The 26,438-nt window shown below is 38.0% G+C and overlaps 2 annotated features.

Moving 5' to 3' along the window:
* Nucleotides 927–1,761: an enhancer, noted in NCBI's record as "H3K27ac-H3K4me1 hESC enhancer chr20:6301432-6302266 (GRCh37/hg19 assembly coordinates)". NCBI's record gives its function as "activates a minimal SCP1, AML or CMV promoter by ChIP-STARR-seq in naive H9 embryonic stem cells {active_cell/tissue: H9 hESC(naive)}" and the evidence as "EXISTENCE:reporter gene assay evidence [ECO:0000049][PMID:30033119]".
* Nucleotides 4,051–4,251: a silencer, noted in NCBI's record as "peak4138 fragment used in MPRA reporter construct". NCBI's record gives its function as "represses an SCP1 promoter by STARR-seq MPRAs in K562 erythroleukemia cells {active_cell/tissue: K562}" and the evidence as "EXISTENCE:reporter gene assay evidence [ECO:0000049][PMID:32103011]".

Consider the following 26,438-nt stretch of genomic DNA (forward strand, 5'->3'; position numbering starts at 1 on the left):
CATTATGATGTTAGCTGGTTATTTTGCTCGTTAGTTGATGCAGTTTCTTCCTAGTCTCGACGGTCTTTACATTTTGGCATGATTTTGCAGCAGCTGGTACCGGTTGTTCCTTTCCATGTTTAGCGCTTCCTTCAGGGGCTCTTGTAAGGCAGGCCTGGTGGTGACAAAATCTCTCAGCATTCGCTTGTCTGTAAAGTATTTTATTTCTCCTTCACTTATCAAGCTTAGTTTGGCTGGATATGAAATTCTGGGTTGAAAATTCTTTTCTTTAAGAATGTTGAATATTGGCCCCCACTCTCTTCTGGCTTGTAGGGTTTCTGCCAAGAGATCTGCTGTTAGTCTGATGGGCTTCCCTTTGAGGGTAACCCGACCTTTCTCTCTGGCTGCCCTTAACATTTTTTCCTTCATTTCAACTTTGGTGAATCTGACAATTATGTGTCTTGGAGTTGCTCTTCTCGAGGAGTATCTTTGTGGCGTTCTCTGTATTTCCTGAATCTAGCAAGGCCTGCCTTGCTAGATTGGGGAAGTTCTCCTGGATAATATCCTGCAGAGTGTTTTCCAACTTGGTTCCATTCTCCCCATCACTTTCAGGTACCCCAATCAGACGTAGATTTGGTCTTTTCACGTAGTCCCATACTTCTTGGAGGCTTTGCTCATTTCTTTTTATTCTTTTTTCTCTAAACTTCCCTTCTCGCTTCATTTCATTCATTTCATCTTCCATCGCTGATACCCTTTCTTCCAGTTGATCGCATCGGCTCCTGAGGCTTCTACATTCTTTGCGTAGTTCTTGAGCCTTGGTTTTCAGCTCCATCAGCTCCTTTAAGCACTTCTCTGTATTGGTTATTCTAGTTATACAGTCTTCTAAATTTTTTTCGAAGTTTTCAACTTCTTTGCCTTTGGTTTAAATGTCCTCCCGTAGCTCAGAGTAATTTGATCATCTGAAGCCTTCTTCTCTCAGCTCGTCAAAGTCATTCTCCATCCAGCTTTGTTCCGTTGCTGGTGAGGAACTGCGTTCCTTTGGAGGAGGAGAGGCACTCTGCTTTTTAGAGTTTCCAGTTTTTCTGTTCTGTTTTTTCCCCATCTTTGTGGTTTTATCTACTTTTGGTCTTTGATGATGGTGATGTACAGATGGGTTTTTGGTGTGGATGTCCTTTCTGTTTGTTAGTTTTCCTTCTAACAGAGAGGACCCTCAGCTGCAGGTCTGTTGGAGTACCCTGCCGTGTGAGGTGTCAGTGTGCCCCTGCTGGGGGGTGCCTCCCAGTTAGGCTGCTCGGGGGTCAGGGGTCAGGGACCCACTTGAGGAGGCAGTCTGCCCGTTCTCAGATCTCCAGCTGCGTGCTGGGAGAACCACTGCTCTCTTCAAAGCTGTCAGACAGGGACATTTAAGTCTGCAGAGGTTACTGCTGTCTTTTTGTTTGTCTGTGCCCTGCCCCCAGAGGTGGAGCCTACAGAGGCAGGCAGGCCTCCTTGAGCTGTGGTGGGCTCCACCCAGTTCGAGCTTCCCGGCTGCTTTGTTTACCTAATCAAGCCTGGGCAATGGCGGGCGCCCCTCCCCCAGCCTCGCTGCCGCCCGGCAGCTGGATCTCAGACTGCTGTGCTAGCAACCAGTGAGACTCCGTGGGCGTAGGACCCTCCGAGCCAGGTGTGGGATACAATCTCGCGGTGCGCCGCTTTCCAAGCCCGTCCGAAAAGCGCAGTATTCGGGTGGGAGTGACCCGATTTTCCAGGTGCCGTCTGTCACCCCTTTCTTTGACTCAGAAAGGGAACTCCCTGACCCCTTGTGCTTCCCAAGTGAGGCAATGCCTCGCCCTGCTTCGGCTCGCGCACGGTGCGCGCACCCACTGACCTGCGCCCACTGTCTGGCACTCCCTAGTGAGATGAACCCGGTACCTCAGATGGAAATGCAGAAATCACCCGTCTTCTGCGTCGCTCACGCTGGGAGCTGTAGACCGGAGCTGTTCCTATTCGGCCATCTTGGCTCCTCCCTATTTTTTTTCTTTTAAATAACAATTTCCTGGACACATATCAGCCAAACTAAAGAGTAACAACCAAAGTAAACTTGTAGGTGTGAGACTGAAGTTTTGTTGTTGCTTTTTTTTTTTTTTTGAGACGGAGTCTTGCTCAGTTGCCCAGGATGCAGTGGCGGGATCTCGGCTCACTGCAAGCTCCGCCTCCCGGGCTCACGCCATTCTCCTGCCTCAGCCTCCTGAGCAGCTGGGACTACAGTTGCCCGCCACTATGCCCGGCTAATTTTGTTTGTATTTTTAGTAGAAATGGGGTTTCACCGTGTTAGCCAGGATGGTCTCGGTCTCCTGACCTCGTGATCTGCCCGTCTCGGCCTCCCAAAGTGCTGGGATTACAGGCGTGAGCCACTGCTCCCAGCCTGTTGTTGCTTCTTTAATGGTAAGTCTTGGAAAAAACATTTCTAAAATCTCCTAACTATAATGCAAATGTCTAGATATAGAAAATAACCCTTTACAGACCCATCAAATAATCATGAGTGTTGTACGTAGTGAAGCAGAAAGGTGGTATTGAGCAATTTAAGTGCAACACCATTATCATGGGTAACATTGCTTCTTTTTAAAAGTTTTTATGTAAGTGTTTTTTTGTTGTTTGTTTGTTTTTGGCTGGAGAGTGGCCTATGGCTTATGGGTCTGATATAGTTTTCATGCTTAATTTTGTGTTGTCTTAAGCCTTATCTGATCACTGCAGCCAGAATTTAAGAGAAGTGAGATATAGATGACGCTGGGGAGTTACACAGCTTGGTATTCAGAAGAAATTGTGTCTTCACCTGCCTGAGGTTTTAAAAGTTGATCTGTGGGAAGGGGCTGGTTGCCGTCAAGAAAAGTCCATGGACATCTGTCAGGATCCGAGGGGTACTGAGTGACAGTGATATTGCTAACCGGGCTTTCCTAGTAACTGCAACATTGCCAAAAGAGTCACATGTTTTCAACTGTTTTTTTGGGTGTCCTGTTTATTTAAAGGCAGGACTTTCTGTCAGCTCTGTTGGTCTTCCTTTTTGTCCCCATTACCTGTATATGATTCCTAGTCTACTGTCCTGCAAGGGCAGGTGGAAGCATGTCATCACCTGCATTCACTGTTAAAGTGGCATTGTAAAAACCACCTCAAACCTAGCTCTTTCGGTTTCGCGGGTGGCCGTGCCCTTGAAAAATAGCTCAATTAGTAATAAGAGTAGTAAATATGTAGAAGGTAACTTTGGGCAAGAAAGTTAAAAGCTCTTTCCTACTTTCTTCTCCACTGCGATCTCTACGTTCACTAATTTTCTCCCCTATAGTCGATTTTTAGTTGTGGTAGTTATATCCCATAAAAGTCTCCTGGAACACTGCATCAGCAAACATTGAACCATTACTTCTAGGAGAAATACAAGGTTAGTTGCCTGTCAGACTCTGGTCACAATATTTTCATCCATCGATTAATATATAACCTTGTTTTATGTGTGTTTCTGTTTAAAGACAGTTTATATATATATATATATATATGTGTGTGTGTATGTGTATATATATGTATATGTATATATAAATGTATATGTATATATATAGAGTATTAACCTTGAACTCATGACCAACCACACTATAGTTTATCAGAACAAAGCTTAACTAATGTACATATTTTTTTCTGTAAGGTACATCCCAGTATTCTTGCAACTAGGGACACTAGAGGACACCTCAGCACTATGCTGAGGGACCATTTTAAGTAGGGGAATCACTAATAAAAAGCACAAAAATTAAAAATGTGGTATTGTCTAGATCGAGAAAAGGATACTTGTTTATAGTATGTGAGCTGGAACAAAAAGATAGTCTCATTTTTGACCTCAGCTGGGAGAATACAATTTAGGTGACTCACATAATTTGCTGCTTTGTCAATGTTTACAAGAGATCATGAAAATTGATTTTGGAGTTACAAATAAATTTTAGCAAGCAAGTAAATTTGCAAATATGGAATCTGTAAATAACTAGGACTGTTATCATAGAAAAATTACTGCTAATATGTCAATATTCTTGCCTCTAAACTGTTGACAATATATTTTTGGTTTTATATAATTGTAATGACAGGCTGGGTGTAGTGGCTCATGCTTGTAATCTCAGCGCTTTGGGAAGCCAAGGTGGGAGAACCGCTTGAGGCCTTGAATTTGAGACTAGCCTGGTAGCATGATAAGACCCTATCTCTAAAAAGTAACCTTGTCTTGGCAAATGCCTATCTGCAAAAAGTTTATCTTCTAACTTATCCTAGAATCTCTTTAATCACAAATGAAAGAAGTCATATAAGAAAAATAGAGTGCCAACAAAAAAGAGAGCACCCAAGAGAGATGCTTAAGTCCACAAAATTAGCTGTCCAAGAATGTTAGGAGCAGCTTTATTCATAAGAGCCCCAAACTGGAAACAACCCAAATAGCCATCAACTAAAATAAGGTTACTTTGATACTATTTTAAGATCAAAACTTAGTATTTTGAACAATTTTGACTTATTTGAAATTCAAACCTAACTAGGTATCGTGGTTCAATCTGGCAAAATGGGTTATGTAATACAAGTATGGTGAGTGATAAAAAAGTTCATCAATAGAGGAATGATTAAATAAATTATAGTCTATTTGTACCATGTAATATTATGTAGTAGCCAAAAAGAATGAAGTGGATTCCTATGTATTAATGTGGTAAGATCTTACAGGTATTGAAATCCATGAAGGGTACCTTGAGAGGCCACTCCCTATAACTAGTCACAGGCCTAGATAAAAAGAATGGGAAGAAAGGCTGAAAATTTGAAGGGAAAACAGTTGAGAATGTTTCAGAATTTAACACAGGGCACACATCCTTAATCAGATATTCAATTTGATTATTGAGAAGGATAGTTGTAAGAGTAAATGTATATACATCATGGCAAGAGTTTATAACATTAAGGATAAAGAGAAAAATGCCAAATTAATATCATTAAAATGGCCATACTGCTCAAAGCAATCTGTGGATTCAATACTATTTCTATCAATCAATGCTATTTTTCACAGAATTAGAAAAAGCTATTCTAAAATTTATATAGAACCAAAAAAAAAGCCCAAATAGACAAAGCAATCCAAAGCAAAAAAAAAAAAAAAAAAAAAAAAAAAAAATGGCAAACATCACATCATCCAACTTCAAACTATACTATAAGGTTACAGTAACCAAAACAGCATGATACTGGTACAGAAACAGAATATAGGCCAATGGAACAGAAGAGAGAACCCAGAAATGAAGCCACACACCTACAGCCATCTTATCTTCAACAAAGTCAACAAAAATAAGCAATGGGGAAATGACTCCCTATTCAATCAGTGGATAGCATATGTAGAAGAATGAAACTATATCCCTACCTTTTACCATATACAAAAATTAACTCAAGATGTATTAAAGATTTAAATGTAAGACCTCAATCTATAAGAATCCTAGAAGAAAACCTAGAAAATACCGTTCTGAAAATAGGCCTTGGGAAAGAATTTATGACTAAGTCCTCAAAAGCAATTACAACAAAACCAAAAATTGATAAGTGGGGCCTAGTTAAACTAAAGAGCTCCTGCACAACAAAAGAAACTATCAATGAGTAAACAGACAACCTACAGAATGGCAGAAAGTATTTACAAACTATGTGTCCAACAAAGGTCTAATATCCAGAATCTATAAAGAACTTAACAATCAAAAACCAAATAAGCCCATTAAAAAATGGGCAAACGACATGAACAGACACTTCTCAACAGAAAACATGCAAGTGGCTAACAAACATGAAAAAATGCTCATCATCAGTAATCCTCAGATAAATGGAAATGAAAACTACAATGAGATATACCATGTCACACCAATTAGGATGGTATTATTAAAAAGGCAAAAAATAACAGATGCTTGTGAGGCTGTGGAGAAAAGGGAGCATTTATGTACTGTTGGTGGGAATGTAAATTAGCTCAGCCATTGTGGAAAGCAGTATGGTGATTTCTCTAAGATCTTAAAACAGGGCTACCATTCAACCCAACAATCCCATTATTGGGTATATACCTGAAGGAAAATACATTGTCATACCCAAAAGTCATGTGCATTTATAGGTTTATCACAGTGCTATTCACACTAGCAAAGACATGGAATCAACTTAGGTGCCCATCTACAGTGGATTGGATAAAGAAAATGTTCTACATATACACCGTAGAATACTATGCTGCCATAAAAAAGAATGAAATCATGTCCTTTGCAGCAACATGGATGCAGCTGGAGGTCATTATCATAAGTGAATTAACACAGGAAAAGAAAATCAAATACTGCATGTTCTCACTTATAAGTACTCACACATGGACATAAAGATGGGAACAGACATTGAGGACTACTGGGGTGTGGAGGGAGGGAAGGTGGCATGGATTGAAAAACTGCCTATTGGATACTATGCTCATTACCTGGGTGATGAGATCTGTATCCGAAACCTCAGCATTACACAATATACCCAGGTAACAAACATGCACATGTACCCCTTGAATGTAAAATAAAAGTTGAAATTATATTAAAAAAGAAATGGTAATAAGTAGAGTTATTAATAACAAGGAATGACAGAAAATTATCTTAGAATTTCAGAGAAAAAACAAATGTCGATACAGATTTTTATGTAATCTAATAATTTAATAATGATGGAAGAACATTTAAAGACATATAAAGGATATTTATATATCCTCATATGTTTTATATGTATAAATGCCCTGAAATCTATGTTTTGTTATTAATATTATAATTTAGTCTTTGTTTTTGTTAATATTGACATATTTTCTTTTAATCTCTATTTTTATTTATTTAATTTTTGGATTATCCCTTTTAAATTCTTTTTTAAATTTTTTATTTTTCCATAAGTTATTGGGGTACAAGTGGTATTTGGCTACATGACTAAGTTCTTTAGTGGTGATTTGTGAGATTTGGGTGCACCCATCACCCGGGCAGTATAAACTGTACCATATTTGTAGTCTTTTATCCCTCACCCCCCCCCACTCTTCCCCAAAAGTCCCCAAAGTCCATTGTATCATTCTTATGCCTTCATGTCCTCATAGCCTAACTCCTACATATCAGTGAGAACATATGATGTTTGGTTTTCCATTCCTGAGTTACTTCACTTCGAATAATAGTCTCCAGTCTCATTCAGGTCACTGCAAATGCTGTTAATTCATTCCTTTTTATGGCTGCATAATATTCCATCATATATATATGATGTGTATATATATATGTTGTATATATATATGGTGTATATATATCATATATATGGTGTATATATATGGTATATATATCATATATATGGTGTATATATATGGTATATATATCATATATATGGTGTATATATATGGTATATATATCATATATATGGTGTATATATATGGTATATATATCATATATGGTGTATATATATGGTATATATATCATATATATGGTGTATATATATGGTATATATATCATATATATGGTGTATATATATGGTATATATATCATATATATGGTGTATATATATGGTATATATATCATATATATGGTGTATATACATACTACATATATATGATGGAATATTATGCAGCCATAAAAATGGCTTTTATTACATTAAGGTATGTCCCTTGTATGCCAATTTTGCTGAGAGTGTTAATATATGGTGTGTGTGTGTATATATATATATATATATATATGGTGTATATATATGGTGTATATATGGCGTATATATATGGTTGTATATATATGGTATATATATGGTGTATATATATGGTATATATATGGTGTATATATATATGGTGTGTACGTGTGTGTGTGTATGTATGTGTGTGTGTGTATATATATATATATATATATATATATATATATATATATATATATATCTCACAGTTTCTTTATCCACTTGTTGATTGATGGGCATTAGGATTGGTTCCACAATTTTGCAATTGTGAATGGTGCTGCTATAAATGTGTGTGTAGGTATTTTTTTCGAATAATGACTTATTTTCCTCTGGGTAGATACCCAGTAGTGGGATTGCTGGATCAAATGGTAGTTCTACTTTTAGTTCTTTAAGGAATCTCAAAATGGTTTTCCATAGTGGCTGTATTAGTTTACATTCCCACCAGCTGTGTAGAAGTGTTCCCTGTTCACCACATCCACACCAACATCTACTGTTTTTTGATTTTTTGATTATGGCCATTCTTGCAGGAGTAAGGTGGTATCACATTGTGGTTTTGATTTGCATTTCCCTGATCATTAGTGATGTTGAGAATTTTTTCATATATTTGTTGGCCATATGTATATCTTCTTTTGAGAATTGTCTATTCATGTCCTTAGCCCATTTTTTGATAGGATTGTTTTTTTCTTACGGATTTGTTTGAGTTCATTGTAGATTCTGGATATTAGCCCTTTGTCAGATGTATAGATTGTGAAGATTTTCTCCCACTCTGTGGGTTGTCTGTTTACTCTGCTGACTGTTCCTTTTCCATGCAAAAGCTCTTTAGTTTAATTAGGTCTCAGTTATTTATCTTTGTTTTTATTGGGTTTGCTTTTGGGTTCTTGGTCATGAAATCCTTGCCTCAGCCAATGTCTAGAAGGGTTTTTCCAATGTTATCTTCTAGAATTTTTATAGTTTTAGGTCTGAGGTTTAAGTCCTTAATCCATCTTGAGTTGATTTTTGTATAAGGTGAGAGATGAGGATCCAGTTTCATTCTCCTACATATGGCTTACCAATTGTCCCAGCACCATTTGTTGAAAAGGGTGTCCTTTCCCCACTATATGCTTTTGTTTGCTTTGTCAAAGTATTTGGGTGTGGCTGTAAGTATCTGCATTTATTTCTGGGTTCTCTATTCTGTTCCATTGGTCTATGTGCCTATTTTTATACCAGTACCATGTTGTTTTGGTGACTATGCCTTATAGTATAGTTTGAAATCAGGTAGTGTGATGCCTCCAGATTTGTTCTTTTTTGCTCAGTCTTGCTTTGGCTATGTGGGCTCTTTTTTGGTTCCATGTAAATTTTAGAATGCTTTTTCTAATTCTGTGAAGAATGATGGTGGTATTCTGATGGGGATTGCAATGAATTTGTAGATTGCTTTTGGCAGTATGGTCATTTTCACAATATTGATTCTACCCATCCATGAGCATGGGATATATTTCCATTTGTTTGTATCATCTAAGATTTCTTTCAGCAGTGTTTTGTCATTTTCCTTGCAGAGGTCTTTCAACTCCTTTGCTAGGTATATTCCTAAGTATTTTATTTTATTTTTTCCAGCTATTGTAAAAGGGGTTGAGTTCTTCATGTGATTCTCTGCTTGGTTACTGTTGGTTTATAGAATGGCTACTGATTTGCGTACATTAATCTTGTATCTGGAAACCTTCTTGAATTCTTTTATTAGTTCTAGGAGCTTTCTGGAGGAGTCCTTAGGGTTTTCAAGATAAATAATCATATCGTCAGCAAACAATGACTGTGTGACTTTCTCTTTATCAATTTGGATGCCTTTTATTTCTTTTTCTTGTCTGATTGCTCCATCTAGGACTTCCAGTATTACGTTGAAGAGGAGTGGTGAGAGTGGGAATCCTTGTCTTATTCCAGTTCTCAGAGGGAATGCTTTCAACTTTTCCCCATTGAGTATTATGTTGGCTGTGGGTTTGTCATAGATGACTTTTATTACATTAAGGTGTGTCCTTTGTACGCCGATTTTGCTGAGAGTGTTAATCATAGAGGGATGCTGGATTTTGTTGTATGCTTTTTTCTGCATCTATTGAGATGAGCATGTGATTTTTGTTTTTAATTCTGTTTATGTGGCATATCACATTTATTGACTTGCGTATGTTAAACCGTCCTTGCATCCCTGATATGAAACCCACTTGATTATGGATTATCTTTTTGATGTGGTGTTGGATTCAGTTAGCTAGTACTTTGTTAAGGATTTTAGCATCTATATTCATCAAGGATATTGGTCTGTAGTTTTGTTTGTTGGTTATGTCCTTTCCTGGTTTTGGTGTAGGGTGATGCTGGCTTCATAGAATGAATTAGGGAGGGTTCCTTCTTTCTCTATCTTGTGGAATAACGTCAAAAGGATTGGTACCAATTCTTCTTTGAATGTCTGGTAGAATTCTGCTGTGAATCTGTCTGGTCCTGGACTTTTTTTTATTGATAATTTTTAAACTACCATTTCAATCTGGCTGCTTGTTATTGGTTTTTTCAGAGTATCTAATTCTTCCTGATTTAAACTAGGAGGGTTGTATTTTTCCAGTAATTTATCTGTCTCTTCTAGGTTTTCTAGTTTATGTGTGTAAAGGTGTCCACAAGTAGCTTTGAATGATCTTTTGTCTTTCAGTGGAGTCAGCTGTAATATCTCCTATTTTGTTTCTTAATGAGGTTATTTGGATTTTCTCTCTTTTCTTGGTTAATCTTGCTAGTGGTGTATCAATTTTTTTTTATGTTTTCAAAGAACCAACTTTTTGTTTCATTCATATTTTGTATGTTTTTTGTTTCAATTTCATTTAGTTCTGCTCTGATCTTTGTTATTTTCTTTCTTCTGCTGGGTTTGGGTTTGGTTTGTTCTTGTTTCTCTAGTTCCTTGAGGTGTGACCTTAGATTTTCTGTTTGTGCTCTTTCAGACTTTTAGATGTAGGTGTTTAGGGCTATGAACTTTCCTCTTAGAACCACCTTTGCTATATCCCAGAGGTTTTGATAGGTTTTGTCATTATTGTCATTCAGTTCAAAGAATTTTTAAATTTCCATCTTGATTTTGCTTTTGACCCAATGCTCATTCAGGAGCAGGTTATTTAATTTCCATGTATTTATGTGGTTTTGAAGGTTCCTTTTGGAGTTGATTTCCAGTTTTATTCCACTGTGGTCTGAGAGAGTGCTTGATATAATTTCAATTTTCTTAAATTTATTGAGGCTCGTTTTATGTCCTATCATATGGTCTCTCTTGGAGAAAATTCCATGCACTGTTGAATAGAATGTGTATTCTGTGGTTGTTGGATGAAGTGTTCTGTATATATCTGTTAAGTTAATTCGTTCCAAGGTATAGTTTAAATCCATTGTTTCTTTGTTAACTTTCTGTCTTAATGACCTGTCTAGTGCTGGAAGTGGAGTATTGACGTCCTTCACTATTATTGTGTTGCTGTCTATCTCATTTCTTAGGTCTATTAGTAATTGTTTTACAAATTTGGGAGCTCTAGTGTTATGTGCATGTATGTTTAGGATTGTGATATTTTCCTGTTGGACAAGGCCTTTTGCTATTATATAATGTCCCTCTTTGTCTCTCTTAACTGCTCTTGCTTTAAAGTTTGTTTTGTCTGATATAAGAATAGCTACCCCTGCTCACTTTTGGTGTCATTTGCATGAAATGCCTTTTTCCACCCCTTTACTTTAAGTTTATGTGAGTCCTTATGTTTTAGGTGAGTCTCCTGAAGGTAGTAGATAGTTGGTTGGTGAGCTCTTATCCATTCTGCGATTCTGTAGCTTTTAAGTGGAGCATTTAGGCCATTTACATTCAATGTTAGTATTGAAATGTGAGGTACCATTGCTTTCATCATGCTCTTTGTTGCTTGTGTACTTTTTTTGTTGTTTTTGCTTTTTAACTTGTATTTTTGTTTTATAGGTCCTGTGTGATTTATGATTTAAAGAGGTGCTGTTTTGATGTGTTTCCAGGATTTGTTTCAAGATTTAGAGCTCCTTTTAGTGGTTCTTGTAGTGGTGGCTTGATAATGGTGAATTCTCTCAGCATTTGTTTGTCTGAAAACTACTGTATCTTTCCTTCATATATGATGCTTAGTTTCGCTGGATACAAAATTCTTGGCCGATAATTGTTTTGTTTGAGGAGGGCTGAAGATATGTCCCCAGTCCCTTCTAGCTTATAGAGTTTCTGCTGAGAAATCTGCTGTTAATCTGATAAGTTTTCCTTTATAGGTTACCTGGAGCTTCTGTCTCACAGCTCTTAAGATTCCTTCCTTCCAAATGGACTTAACTGGTATAAACAGAACACTTCATCCAACAACCACAGACTACACATTCTATTCAACAGTGCCTGGAACTTTCTCCAAGATAGACCATACAATAGGCCATAAAACAAACCTTAATAAATTTAAGGAAGTAATGCTCTTAACTTTGGATAACCTGATGACAGTGTGCCTAGGTGAAGATCTTTTTTGCGATGAATTTCTGAGGTAGTCTTTGTGCTTCTTGTATGTTGGTGTCTAGGTCTCTCACAAGGCTGGGGAAGTTTTCCTTGATTATTCCCCCAAATATGTTTTCCAGGCTTTTAGAATCCTTTTCTTCCTCAGGAACACCGATTATTCTTAGGTTTAGTCATTTAACATAGTCCCAGAGTTCTTGGAGGCTTTGTTCATATTTTCTTATTCTTTTTGTCTTGGTTGGATTGGGTTAATTTAAAGACCTTGTCTTCAAGCTCTGAATTTCTTTCTTCTACTTGTTCAATTCTATTGCTGAGACTTTCCAGAGCATTTTGCATTTCTAAAAGTGCGTCCAAATTTTCCTGAATTTTTAATTGTTTTTTTTTTCTTTATGCTATCTATTTCCTTGAATATTTCTCCCTTCACTTCTTGTATCATTTTTTGGATTTCCTTGCATTGGGCTTCACCCTTCTCTGATCCCTCCCTGATAAGCTCAATAACTAACCTCCTGAATTCTTTTTGAGGCAAATCAGAGATTTCTTCTTGGTTTGGATCCATTGCTGGTGACCTAGAGTGATTTTTTTGGGGGGTGTTGAAGAACCCTGTTTTGTCATATTACCAGAGTTGGTTTTCTGGTTCCTTCTCATTTGGGTAGGCTCTGTCCTAGGGAAGTTCTAGGGCTGAAGGCTGTTGTTCAGATTCTTTTGTCCCAAGGGGTGTTCCCTTGATATAGTACTCTCCTCCTTTTCCTATGGATGTGGCTTCCTGTGAGCTGAACTGCAGTGATTGTTGTCTCTCTTCTGGTTGTAGCCACCCAGGAAGTCTACTCAGCTCTGGACTGGTACCAGGGGCTGTCTGCACAGTGTCCTGTGATGTGAACCATCTATGAGTCTCTCAGCCATGGATACCAGCACTTTTTCTGGTGGAAGTGGTGGAGGGTGCAATGGACTCCATGAGGGTCCTTAGCTTTGGTGGTTTAATGCTGTATTTTTATGCTGGTTGGCCCCCTGCCAGGAGGTTGTGCTTTCCAGAAAGCATCAGCTATAATAGTAGTATGGAGAGGAACCAGCGGTGGGTGGGGTCCTAGAACTCCCAAGATTATGTGCCCTTTCTCTTCCACTACCAGGATGGATAGGGAAGGACCCTCAGGTGGGGGTGGGGCTAGGCATATCTGAGCTCAGACTCTCCTTGGGCGAGTCTTGCTGTGGCTGCTGTGGGGGATGGGGGTGAGTTTCCCTGGCCACTGGAATTGTGTACCTAGGAGGATTATGGCTGCCTCTGCTGAGTCATGCAGGTTGTCAGGGAACTGGGGGAAAGTGGGCAGTCACATGCCTCACCCAGCTCCCATGCAAACCGAAGGGCCAGTCTCACTCCCACCGTGCCCCCACCCCCCACAGCAAACAGCCCCGAGTCTGTTTCTAGGCGGAGGGCAAGATGGGCTTAAAAACTTTCCTGAGAATATCTGCCTCCTAGCTGTGAAAGAAAAAGGCTTTAGTTCTTCCCCAACCTGTGAAGTCTCCACACCAGATTAATGCTCTTCCCCAAGTTCTAGCCAGGAGGCTTCTTGCCCTGTTCAAATTGTTTCAAAGTTCAGCTAGGGAATTCCTTCTCCCTGTGGAGTTTTACCCCCTGTTCCTCTAGCCACCCTCCCAATGGATCCCTGTTGTGCCAGGCAGGAATGGGCTGCTTGGGGACCCAGTGAGCTCCCAGGGCCTTTCTGCTGCTTCCTCTACCCCTGTCTTTTGCTCGGCTCTCTAACTTGACTCAGCTCCAGGTAAAGTCGGAAATTTCTCCCGCAAACAGACCTTCAGCTTTTCCAGTGGGGGTGTCTGTTTGTGAGAGGAGGGCCTCCGTTTCCCACTTGCACAGTTGGGGCACTCACAGTATTTGGGGTGTCTACCCGGTCCTGCAGGAGCAGTCTGCTTCCTTCAGAGGGTCTGTGGGTCCTCTCAGGATTTCTGGTTTGTTCTTGCAGTCAATCTGGAGCTAAAATTTACAATATAAGCCTCCGTATGCTGCTCTGTCCCGGCTGCAAATCTAGTCCTCCCTCCCATCCGCCATGATTCCCATACCTAATCTCTATTTTTAATCTTTGTTATTCATAGAAATGTCTCTTAATCAATATGTAGCTACATTTTAAGAATTAAGCTGAAAGTCTATGTTTTGTAATAGGATATAGCAAACCCATTACATTCACAAAATATTTAGATTCATTTATGTTACTTATTTTTTGTTTTATGTTTTCATTTGTGTTCTTTTCTTTTATTTTCAGGCAGTTTTAGACTGACCAAAGTCTCTTTGATCTATTTTTCTTCTTCAGTGGTTTGGAAGTTAAATATCCTATTTTTATTCTTTGAATGGTTGCTCTTACACTTTTAATGAACATCTTTAAACTTTGATTTGCGTTTTCATCAGTGAATCAGTCTGTATTTATATTCTCCCACAAACAACACTAGAATATTCACTTTTACTCCTCTTCAGTTTCTCCTCTCCCTACCACGTGATCTTCCAGAGATGTCATCAAAAATTTAGTTCTTTTTACTATTTTTTTTCAACTTTTTTTCTTCCATCATCCTACCTCATGTTTCTCAGAGATATCATCTAAAAGGTTAGATTCTTGTTAAATGTTTTTTGTAATCATCACTTAAATTATTGATTATTATAACTGATTCCTTATGTTTGGATTAAATTTTCTTCTTGCTAGAGCACATCCTTTTGTAATTCATTCAGAATTACATTTTCTGAGTCTGAAAATGCTCTTTTTTCATTCTTATACTTGGATAATTTAGTTTTAGTATTTTAAGCTCAAAATTATTTTCCCTCAGATCTTGGGAAACATTGTTCTATTGTCTTTTTTCATCTGATATTACTAGAAAACAAGTCCAGCATAAGGCTCATTCTTTTATCAAAGTGCATTATCTATTTCACACCTTCTTCTTACCAGTCTTCTGGTAAGACTTTTCTCTTTATTCTCAGCTTTCTGAATTTTGCCATGTTGGGCTTAGTTGTAGTCTATCTTATTCATCTTGCGTAGGACTCAAAGGCTTCTTTTAAGCTGAAGTGTAATGATTCCTTTTTCCTCTCTTTTTGGAACTGTAGTAGACATTCATTGGTAAACTGGAAGATATCTTTTATGTCTCTTTAACTTATCTTTCATAAGTTTTTAATTTTTTTCCTTTTATACATACTTTTGGAGAATTTTTAACTGCTTTTTCTGTTTTTAAAGTTACTTTCGACTGTATCCCCATACAGTAATCCATAGTGATAGAAATCAGAGTAGTGGTTTCCCGGTTTTGCAGGGAGAGAGCAGGGCAGACATTACCTTGGAAGGAGCACCAGGGAACTTTCTAGTGTGTGCATTGTAATAATGTTAAAATAACACTATTGTTACATAATTAAAACAACTGTATCCATTCAGCCATTTTCTCCATCTATGGATCTTTTTAAACTCTAGGATTAAAATTTTAATTTCCCCCGTGGTTTCTATATTCTCACATCTTATAAGGACATTGGTTACATATATTCTATAGGCTTATTTGTTTGCTTTCTCGATTTGTCCAGCTTTGGCAGATGGAAGTTATTCTTTGGTTTAGTTTGATGCCTCTTTTTATGTCAGCATTCTTCACATGTTTGGTAAACATTTTCTGTATTTGTCTATGTTATCTGAGAGCCAAGTTTATGAAAGTCTGATCAGTTCCCTTCAGCCTGTCTTCAGAAATTGCAGGAGGCTGGTAGAAGAAGGCAATTGTGCTATGAAATGAACCAGTGACTAGTTTGTTTCTCCTAAGTGGTGTTTGCCTCCTGAGATCCTTCTTTAACCCTAGTCTAGAAGCTCTAATGTTCCCTGCTCCCGACTGGCATTGTATACTTTTCTTGCACTCTGCTTGGTTTAGCGAGAATAAAGAAGAGAGTGTGCATAAGTCAATGAGTCTGGCGGTTTCTACTTAGGTCCCCCCAACCTGCAGATTTTGACTTGGAGTACCCTGGATCCTCTTTCACTCTTTATAGTAGATATCCCACACACACATTTTTGCATTTTAATAATACAATCTCATCTATTTTCATCTTTTTTATAATTCTTCATAGACTTAGGTACTTCTTCATTGTTACTCAAAAACAGCTAAGATTTTTTTTCTCTTTTTTTTTGAGACGGAATTTTGCTCTTGTTGCCCAGGCTGGAGTGCAATGGCACCATCTTGGCTCACCACAACCTCTGCCTCATGGGTTCAAGTGATTCTTCTGCCTCAGCCTCCCAAGTAGCTGAGATTACAGGCATGTGCCACCACACCTGGCTAATTGTGTATTTTTAGTAGAGATGGGGTTTCTCCATGTTGGTCAGGCTGGTCTCGAACTCCCGACCTTAGGTGATCTGCCTGCCTTGGCCACCCAAAGTGCGGGATTACAGGCATGAGCCACTGCTCCTGGCCATTTTTTTTTTTCATATGTTTTTGGACATCTAGGACTTTGGAATAAGACAGGAAGTAGGGCAGGCTACATAATTTGCAGAATCTAGTGCAAAGTTAAAAAGCGGGACATCTTGTCCAAAAAGTAGGAAAAGAAGTGTCGTTAAACGTGCTGTAATATAAAGTTTTTCTTTATAATATTTTACTAACAAAAATCACTAGCGTTTTCCTAAGTCACTAAATTTTCCCGTATAACATCATTCTTCCCCTCAACTGGAAACTTAAAAAAAAATTTTACATTGCCCTCAGAGGCAAAAATAGCTAACACTTTTTAATCTGTGTTGAAAACATTATTTCTTCTCCTCTTTTTGAAATTTTTAATTTTTTAATCTTTTAAATTACGGTGAAGTACGTATAGTATAAAATTTACCATCTTAACCATTTTAAAGTGTTCAGCTCCATGGCGTAAATTACACTTACATTGTTGTACAACCATTGCCACTGTCCAGCTCCAGAACTCTTTTCGTCTTGCAAAACTGAAAAATAATAAAGCTTTTTTCTTTAAAAATGTTTATCACTTATAAAACATAATAGGAGTAATAGTGATGGATGAGGAGCAACGTAAACTGAACAATTGCAAAAAATAACATTTTTGGTGTTGTAGTGAGTTGACTACTGTCTGCCAAAATTCATATCCACTCAAAACCTCAGAATACAAACTTATTTAGATACAGGGTCTTTTTTGTTTGTTTGTTTGTTTTAATTTTATTATTATTATACTTTAAGTTTTAGGGTACATGTGCACAACGTGCAGGTTTGTTACATATGTATACAGGTGCCATGTTGGTCTGCTGCATCCATTAACTCGTCATTTAGCATTAGGTATGTCTCCTAATGCTATCCCTCCCCCCTCCCCCCACCCCACAACAGTCCCCAGAGTGTGATGTTCCCCTTCCTGTGTCCATGTGTTCTCATTGTTCAATTCCCACCTATGAGTGAGAACATGCGGTGTTTGGTTTTTTGTCCTTGTGATAGTTTGCTGAGAATGATGGTTTCCAGTTTCATCCATGTCCCTACAAAGGACATGAGCTCATCATTTTTTATGGCAGCATAGCATTGATACAGGGTCTTTGTTGATGTAACTGGATTAATGTGAAGTCACTCTGGATTAAAGTAGGTACTAAATCCAATAGCTAGTGTCCCGAGAAGCAGAGGAGAGGACACAGAGACATCCAGAGGAGAAGGCCATGTGAAGACAGAGGCAGAGATTGCAGTTATGCTGTCACTAGCCAGGGAACACCTGAAGCCACCTGAAGCTGGAAGAGGCAAGGAAGGGTGGAACCTGTAGAGAGAGCACCACCCTATTGACACCTTGATTTTGGACTTCTGGCCTCCAGAACTGTGACAGAATGAATTTATGTTGTTTTAGTTTGCCCAGTTTGTGGTAATTTGTTGCAGCAGCCCTATGAAACTAATACAGGTATCACACTTCTATGTAGCAAATAAATAGTAATTCTTTAAGAAGACATCTTCATTGAACGTAAGACTTTTACTTTTCTGCAAATTCATTTATTAAGTCATCAAAATTTATACTTCTAGAAATTTTGTTTTCAATTGATATAATTAAAAAATAACACGAGTTGGTCCTGACAAATGCAAGATCACAAATAATTTTAGATAATTTTTTATTCTGAGGAGGAGATTTTTTAGATACAACTGTCATTGGACCTGTTAAAAGTATTTTAGTGCTATGCAACATCGGGATTAACTTCTGATGAATTATTTTGAAATACAAATTTTAATGTATCTATAGCTGATGACTTTTAAGAAATAGTTTTTCTAAATAGATTTAACTCTTCATACAAATCACTTTTGTGTAACTCCAAATTTAATTTTGTTAATTTACACAATGATAGTTTGACATTTCCTCTGCTATTTTTGGAATTGGTGGAGGTCTGTACAAGGAATTAAAAGTGGTGTAATGATTGTATATAATTCACAATGCCATTTTGTGCACTCTATCATTACATCTTCAATTTTAATGAAAAATTAATGAGATAATTGTCTTCTTTGTTAAAAATTTATCTAAAGCTTCATATAAAAATAGTGTTATTTTCCATTGAATGTGACAATCTTTACATTTAATTTCTGTTTCTAAGCCTGTGGATATTTGTTTTGCAACATTGCCGCAATTTTCAAAATTAGTAATACCTCTTTGAACATATAATAACTCCCTGAAATGTTTTATTGTGTAATGTCCATGTGTACTTTTTCTTGGCAATTGTTTACTAACAGGGTTTACTGTCTGATAAGTGGCAGTTCCCACCCGGACCCTCAGGCTGGAGGGTTAGTATTTGTGCTGAGGCACAGGGTTGGGCTCCAAGGATGGAATGGCAAGCTGGCATCCCACCGATGGTCCCAACACTGGAACATAGAGTCTCACCTGTCTTGGGACAGGGACACTAATGGGGCTGCTTCTGCTGCACCTGCCACCATCACCACCATGCCACCACCAATCTGGGCCCAGGTCTGAGTATGGCTGCCCCCTCAGGCTCTGCATCACACCAGCCTGCCCCCAGGATGCTAGTGAGTCCCATGAGGCTAGGCCAGCTGTTCCAGTTGCTACTGACTGTTGTATCTCTGGGTGTGAGTCTATGTGGTGTGTGTGTATGTGTGTGTGTGTGCACTGCTGCCTGGAGTGTGTGTGCTTCCTCTGTTCACATGGGTGCTCCATGGTCCTATCAGTCTTCATTTGCAAAACACAGGTTCAAAGAAAAAATTATTATGAATATCATGACAGTGATAGTGAAACATTAAAGCAATTGTGAGGTTCTTCCTGCGTGTGTGTCCCAGTGGGGCTACACATGCCACATGTCCACAGAGCCAGCCCTGATAGGGAGGCAGCAGGAATACTGCATTTACCATCTTGATCTGATCTCTTGATGAAAGCCAATATTGCTTTACTAAACCACTTTTATGTGGAATGTGGTGCATTTGCATCTGAGTTGGTTATCCTAGTTTGCATTTTCCAGCTGGACAAAGGCCAGTTTCAATGGCTTTAGAGAGAGGGAATAATCTAGACTTGTTCCTATGGCTAGGGACCAAACAGGTTTTTTTAATTTTTAAAGTTATTTTAAAATTTAATTTGATTTTTTTTAGAGTTTCACTCTGTTGCCCAGGCTGGAGTGTAGTGGCGTGATCATGGCTCACTGCAGCCTTGAATTCCTGGACTTAGTGATCCTCCTGCTTCAGCCTCCCAAGTAGCTATGACTACAGATGTACATTGCCATGCCTGGCTAATTTCTAAAAGTTTTTTATAGAGTTGGGGTCTTGCTATGTTGCCCAACTAGTCTTGAACTACTGGCCTCAAGCTATCCTCCTGCCTTGGCTTCCCAAAGTGCTGGGATTACAGGCATGAGCCATCATGCTTGGCCCCAAACAGATTTTTAAATCTCTTCTTGAGAATCAAGAGTCACCTTTGTAATGTGGAAGGTTATGTTTATATTATTCAGAAAACGCTAATGACTGTGCATAAATAAAGCTTATCCTCTATTTTTAATCATCTGGTCCTTAAACATGTAAATCATCTTCAGCTTCCCAGTTATAGCTCATGGATCAGTTTCTGGTATAATCTATATCATTCCTTGGTGACCTTTCTCCCCTCATTTTCTGCATGTATATATCTTGTGGTTAGGCATCAGAAGGCTGTATCTTATTTAAGTATCTGAATGTATCATCAGGCTTATAAAAATGGTTGATATTGTAGAGTTCAGAGATTCAGAGCTAGATGCTTATCTGAAAGCATTTCCAAACCTATCTGGTACTGGCCTGAACCAGATTCTGTTCTGTTTGGAATAGAAATTTTACAGTATTTCATTTTTTTCCAGATAGGAAACAATAATGAGTGTAGCTTATTGAAGTATTTTCTTAACATTATAGCTTTTTTACTGATGAAAGAATATGAGATTATATAATCTTTGTTATTTATCTTCAAAACTCTTGATATTACATGCCATAGTATACTACAGCATGGACTATTTTTATAATATGTACTAGTTATAAAATGTATACCACAAAAATCTATATTATACTAGTTATAAAATGAATACCACATGCATACTTGTGCTAGTTATAAAATATATACCATATGTACTTGTTATAAATGTATATCACATAAAACCTATATTATACTAGTTCTAAAATGTATGTTACATAAAGCCTGTATTATAACTGGAGGACTAAATATCAGCTAGTTAACAAATTACCCAGATGTTCTTTATGTAGTCTTATAGATCTTTATTTGATTGTCTAATTATGCCTTTTATGTGACTGGAGATGGTTCTACATAAAAATATTTGGGAAGCTTGACTTTCTGCCAGACCAAAGAGATTCAAACTTACTTGAGAAATATAAGCCACTTTCATTTACTAAGTGTCTGTGATTAAGGCAGAATCCCCTGCTTAAAATCATAGCTTTGGGAAGGGAATATAAACAGAAACATAGCTCATGCCCATGCCCACTGTTTCTCGCTGCCCTGGACTTTTGCCAAGCTTCAGTTTGGCATTATCAAAAATACAGAGCATATTGTTATTATTAGAATATGAATTCACAACTGGGTTTATATTGAGTAAAGATTTGTTATATTTTTTTAAATTTCTGAGTTATTTCTTATTGGTGAGTGCTTGGAAAAATGGAGTCAGAGCTTGGTATGAGGGGAGGAAGGAGGCAAAACCTATTTTGTTGAAAACCCTAATGGGGAAGATTCACTTTTCTACTGGATTCATATTTTTGTACTTCTCCTTGTCGAAATGATTGTTTTGGACAAAAAAGCCACCTTCTTTATGTATATTTACTCATGTTGCTAACAATTAAAAATTGTTTTCTTTTACACGTTGCTTTTACATTAAAAATGATTAAACATATATTGGTCTTTGAGGCATTAGCCTTTCATCTTGGGGTACCTAATTTAAAACCTGGTCCAGTTTAAGCAGAAACAAGTTGGATCTTGTCACCTTCACTCATCCAAGCTTTCAGAATGAACAATAATTACAGTAAACTCAAATCATTCCAAAATGTTTTCTCATTATATTCTAACACATGAAGAATAGTAACAAAATACTTTATTGTGTAACTAAGAAGGATTAGTATTTTTTCTTGAAAATCATTACATTGTAGCCTTCATCAGAAGAAAAATAATGAACTGTTACAGTTTCTGTTATAAGCTATATTGGAAAATGAAATCAGAGTGTCAAGTATGATTTCACAACATTGTGAATGAGAGACCATGGGTCTGGTGATGTAAGAGGCCACTTTCTACTCCTTGGGAGAACAGTTTATACCCCTGTGGTCCTCAATCCACAGGAAGTCTTTTCTTTATTGCTTAACTCCACTCTAGTAAGTCACTGACCTCCATGTCCCCTTGAGTTCCATATTGAATACACCAGGTTAAGTTCAAATCCAATCGGAACATTTACATTTTAATAGGATTGATAGACTTAAACTGAAGAATAAAACTTGAGTGTGGGAAGTTTTGATAGACAGAAGGAGCAAGATCCCCTGTCATTGGGAGAGCCTTTGAATCTTACTGGATTCCCACTGGAGCTTCATATTTTTTGGGTGTGGACAAGAGGGTCCTGAGGATAGCAAAGTGTCCTTCTCCCATTCTATCTTTTTCTTCAAAGGGCACATGGCATTCTGGGTGGCCTGAGACAACTTTGTCACTTCTTGGCTGTAGTAACTTGGAGAATAATTGCTATCTTTGTCTTATGCTCAGGTCTCTGTACACTCCTGCAGTATCCTTGACTCACTCCTAACAAGGTCCCCAGCATTGTCTCAATATGTACAGTGGTCCAGTTTGCTGTACCCTCCCATTGCTTTCATAAAACAATTGCAACTCTCCTTCAGGGTCTCTGTAGCCAACAGGCATCAAACTTCTTGGAAAAACTTCTTGGCTTCTTGGATGAAGCCCTGAATAGCTTTGTTGTATGAGTCAGGTACACACTTTATTTGAGAGTGTGGGAGAACTAGCTAATACTTTCACTACTACTATGTATTGGTAGTTTAAACAATTCAAAGTATAAAATTTATCCATGAACTTGGTTTTATTCTTCTGCCATGTAACTAGGAGTGAGAATACTTCATGTAGTAAAATGCTGCAATTTTAATGTTGGAGGTTCTTAAAATGCTCTAATTCAGGTCTTGCTTATGTTGTCTCAAATACAAGCTCACCCCTGCACTGCCAGATGGTCTCTATGTGCATTTATGTGTGTAGACATAGGCCTACTTCTAAGATATTGTAGGTTTGGTTGCAGACCACTGCAGTAAAATAAGTATAGCAATAAAATGAGTCACACAATTTTTTTTGGTTTCCCAGTGCATATAAAAGTTATGTTTATATTATTCTGTAGTCTATTAAGTGTACAATAACATTATGTCTAAAACAAACAATGTACATACCTTAAATAAAAAATACTTTGTTAAGAAATGGTAATGATCATCTGATCCTTCAGCAGAGTCATGATCTTTTTGCTGGGGGAAGGTCTTGCCTTCATGTTGATGGCTGCTGATTGATCAGGGTGATGGTTGATGAAGGTTAGGGTGGCTGGGGAAATTTAAAAATATAAGACGGTAATGAAGTTTGGCTCATCCACTGACTCTTCCTTTCATGTAAGATTTCTCTGTAGCATGTGATGCTGTTTGAAAGCATTTTACTCACAGTAGAACTTTCAAAATTAAAGTCTACCCTCTCAAACCTTGCCACTGCTTTATCAACCAAGTTTATATAACGTTCCAAATCCTTTGTTGTCATTTCCACAACGTTCAGTGTCTTTTCTGGGAGTAGAGTCTATCTCAAGAAACCACTTTCTTTGCTCATCCATAAGAAGCAAGTCCTCAACCATTTACATTTTATTTTGAGATTACAGCAATTGAGTCCCATCTTCAGGCTTCACATCTAATTCGAGTTCTCTTTCTTTTTCTACCATATCTGCAGTGACTTCCTCCACTGAAATTTTGAACCCCTCAAAGTCATTCATGAGTGTTGGAAAAAACTTCTAAAGTCTGTTAATGTTGGTATTTTGACCTCTTTTCATGAATCATTAATATTCTTAATGGATCTAGAATAGTGTGTACCTTCCAGAAGTTTTCATTTACTTTTCCCAGATCCATCAGAAGAATCCCTACCTGTGATACCTATAGCCTTATGAAATATATTTCACAAACAGTAAGACTTAAAAGACAAAATTACTTCTTGATCCATGGACTACAGAATGGATGTTGTGTTAGCAGGTGTAAAAACAATATTAATCTTCTGTACATCTTTTATTAGAGCTCTTGGGTGACCAGGTGCATTGTCAATGAGTAGTACTATCCTGAAAGGAAGCTTTTTTTCCTGTGCCGTAAGTCTCAACAGTGGGCTTAAAATATTTAGTAATTCATGCTGCAAACAGATGTGCTGTCATCCAGGCTTCGTTGCTCCATTTCTGGAGCACAGACAGAATAGGTTTAGCTTAATTCTTCAGGGCCCTAGAATTGTCAGAATGGTAAATAAGCATTTACTTCAACTTAAAGTCACCAGCTGCATTAACCCCCAAGAAGACAGTCAGCCTGTCCTTTGAACCTTTGAAGCTAGGCATTGACTTCTCTCTAGCTCTGAAGTCCTAGATGGCATCTTCTCCAGTAGAAGGCTGTTTTGTCTACACTGAAAATTTCTTGTTTAGTGTAGCCACCTTCATCAAGGATCTTAGCTAGATCTTCTGGATAATTTGCTGCAGCTTCTATATCAGCACTTGCTGCTTTCTTCTGTACTTTTATGTTATGGAGATAGCTTTTTTCCCTAAACCTCATGAACCAATCTCTGCTTGCTTCAAACTTTTCTTCTGAAGCTTCCTCACCTCCCTCACCCTTCACAGAGTTGAAGAGAGTTAGTCCTTGCTCTGGATTAGGTTTTCGCTTAAGGGAATTTTGTGGCTGGTTTGATCTATCTAGACCACTCAAACTTTCTCCATATCAGCAATGAGGCTGTTTTGCTTTTTTACCATTCATGGATTCACTGGAGTAGCACTTTTCATTTCCTTCATGAACTTTTCCTTTGCATTCACAACTTGGCTGTTTGGCACAAAAAGCCTAGCTTTTGGCCTATGTTGGTTTTTGATATGCCGTGCTCACTAAGCGTAGTCATTTATAGTTTTTGATTTCAAGTAAGAGACATGAGACTCTTCCTTTCACTTGAACACTTCGAGGTCATTATGGGGTTATTAATTGGCCTAACTTCGATATGATCCTCTCAGTGGGTAGAGAGAGCTGAGGAGAGGGAGAGAAATGAGGGAATGGCCAGTGGAGCAGTCAGAACACATACAACATTTATGAATTATGTTGGGCATCTTATTTGGGTACAATTTGTTGACCCTAAAACAATTACAGTGGTAACATCAAAGATCACTTATCACAGATTGCTCTAGCAGATATGCTTCTTCAGTAATGAAAAAGATTGAATATTGTGAGAATTACCAAAATGTGGCACAAAGACAAAAAGCGAGCTCACGAAAAGTGAGCATGTACTGTTAGAAAAATGGTGCCCATATACTTGCTCAATTCAATGCAGGGTGCCACAAGCCTTTAATTTATTAAAAATGCAATATCTGCTACAAGCAATCTAGAAAGTACAAAAATGTGAGGTATGTCTGTATTAGATGAGAGAAACTAAAGCAAAGTCAGAGGTCTCTAAGGGGAGATTGGCCAGGCCTTTGACCTGCTTCCTATCCATTCAAAGATCATCAGGCCTCAATATATTGACTTCTCATTGCTAAGAATACATGAGGCTAAGAATAATAATTTATTAATCCACAGTGAGAAATGGAGCCATCACATTATATTAGTCCATTCTTGCATTTCTATAAAGAAATACCTGAGGCTGGGTAATTTATAGAGAAAAGAGGTTTCATTGGCTCACGGTTTTGCAGGCTGTACAGACAGCATGATGGCATCTGCTCAGCTTCTGGGAGGCCCCAGGAAACTTACCATGATGGCGGAAGGCAAAGGGGAAGCTGGCATTTCACATGGCTGGAGCAGGAGGAAGAGAGGGGGAGGTACCACACACTTTTAACCAACCAGCTCTTGGCAGAACTCACTTTCATGAGAACAGCACTAAGGGATGGTGTTAAACCATCATGAGAAATCCACCCCCATAATCCAACCACCTCCCACCAGGTCCCACCTCCAACTTTGGGGACTGCAATTTGACATAAGATTTGGTGGTGACACAGATCAAAACCATATCACGTATGGAAGAGGATAATGGAGATTTATGATGAGTTTATTTTTTCCCTATCATCAAACTACATGGTTTCTCACTGTGTTCATTTACGACATGAAACCACTGCTGTAAAGACCAGAAATGTTCACATTAAGAAGGTCAATTTCCTTTCTTTCTCTGTAGCCAACTGATTTGAGAATTTGAAGGTCATTTGGGGAGTACAACATTGGAACAAAGAGAGTTAGATAAAAAAATCCTAAACAACAGTGGACCAAGGTAGTCAGACACCTCTAGTAAACAAGTTAGCCTTGCCAGTGGGGCAAGATAGAATGATGTCTGTTGGTTTCATCCTGCATCCCATTATACTTTAGGAGTGCCCTTACATTGGAATTGGAAGAAACACACCAACTCCAATGGTTAGACCTTCCTTTCTCTTGGATTATGCTTTGCTGGGCACTGGTAATAAACTGTCTTGTCCAATCCATCCTTATTTTGATTGACAGATTGATTTTTAGAATATATTACTGTAATGTGTTCCATCTGGTTATAGTCAAGCCTGTTAGCCTGTGAGCCAATCAGGTGACTTGATCTCTATATGCACTGTCTCATGTTAGGCTGCTCTTATATTTATCTCTGAAGATAATCTGT

Source organism: Homo sapiens, chromosome 20, assembly GCF_000001405.40.
Source record: "Homo sapiens chromosome 20, GRCh38.p14 Primary Assembly".
Taxonomy (NCBI): domain Eukaryota; kingdom Metazoa; phylum Chordata; class Mammalia; order Primates; family Hominidae; genus Homo; species Homo sapiens.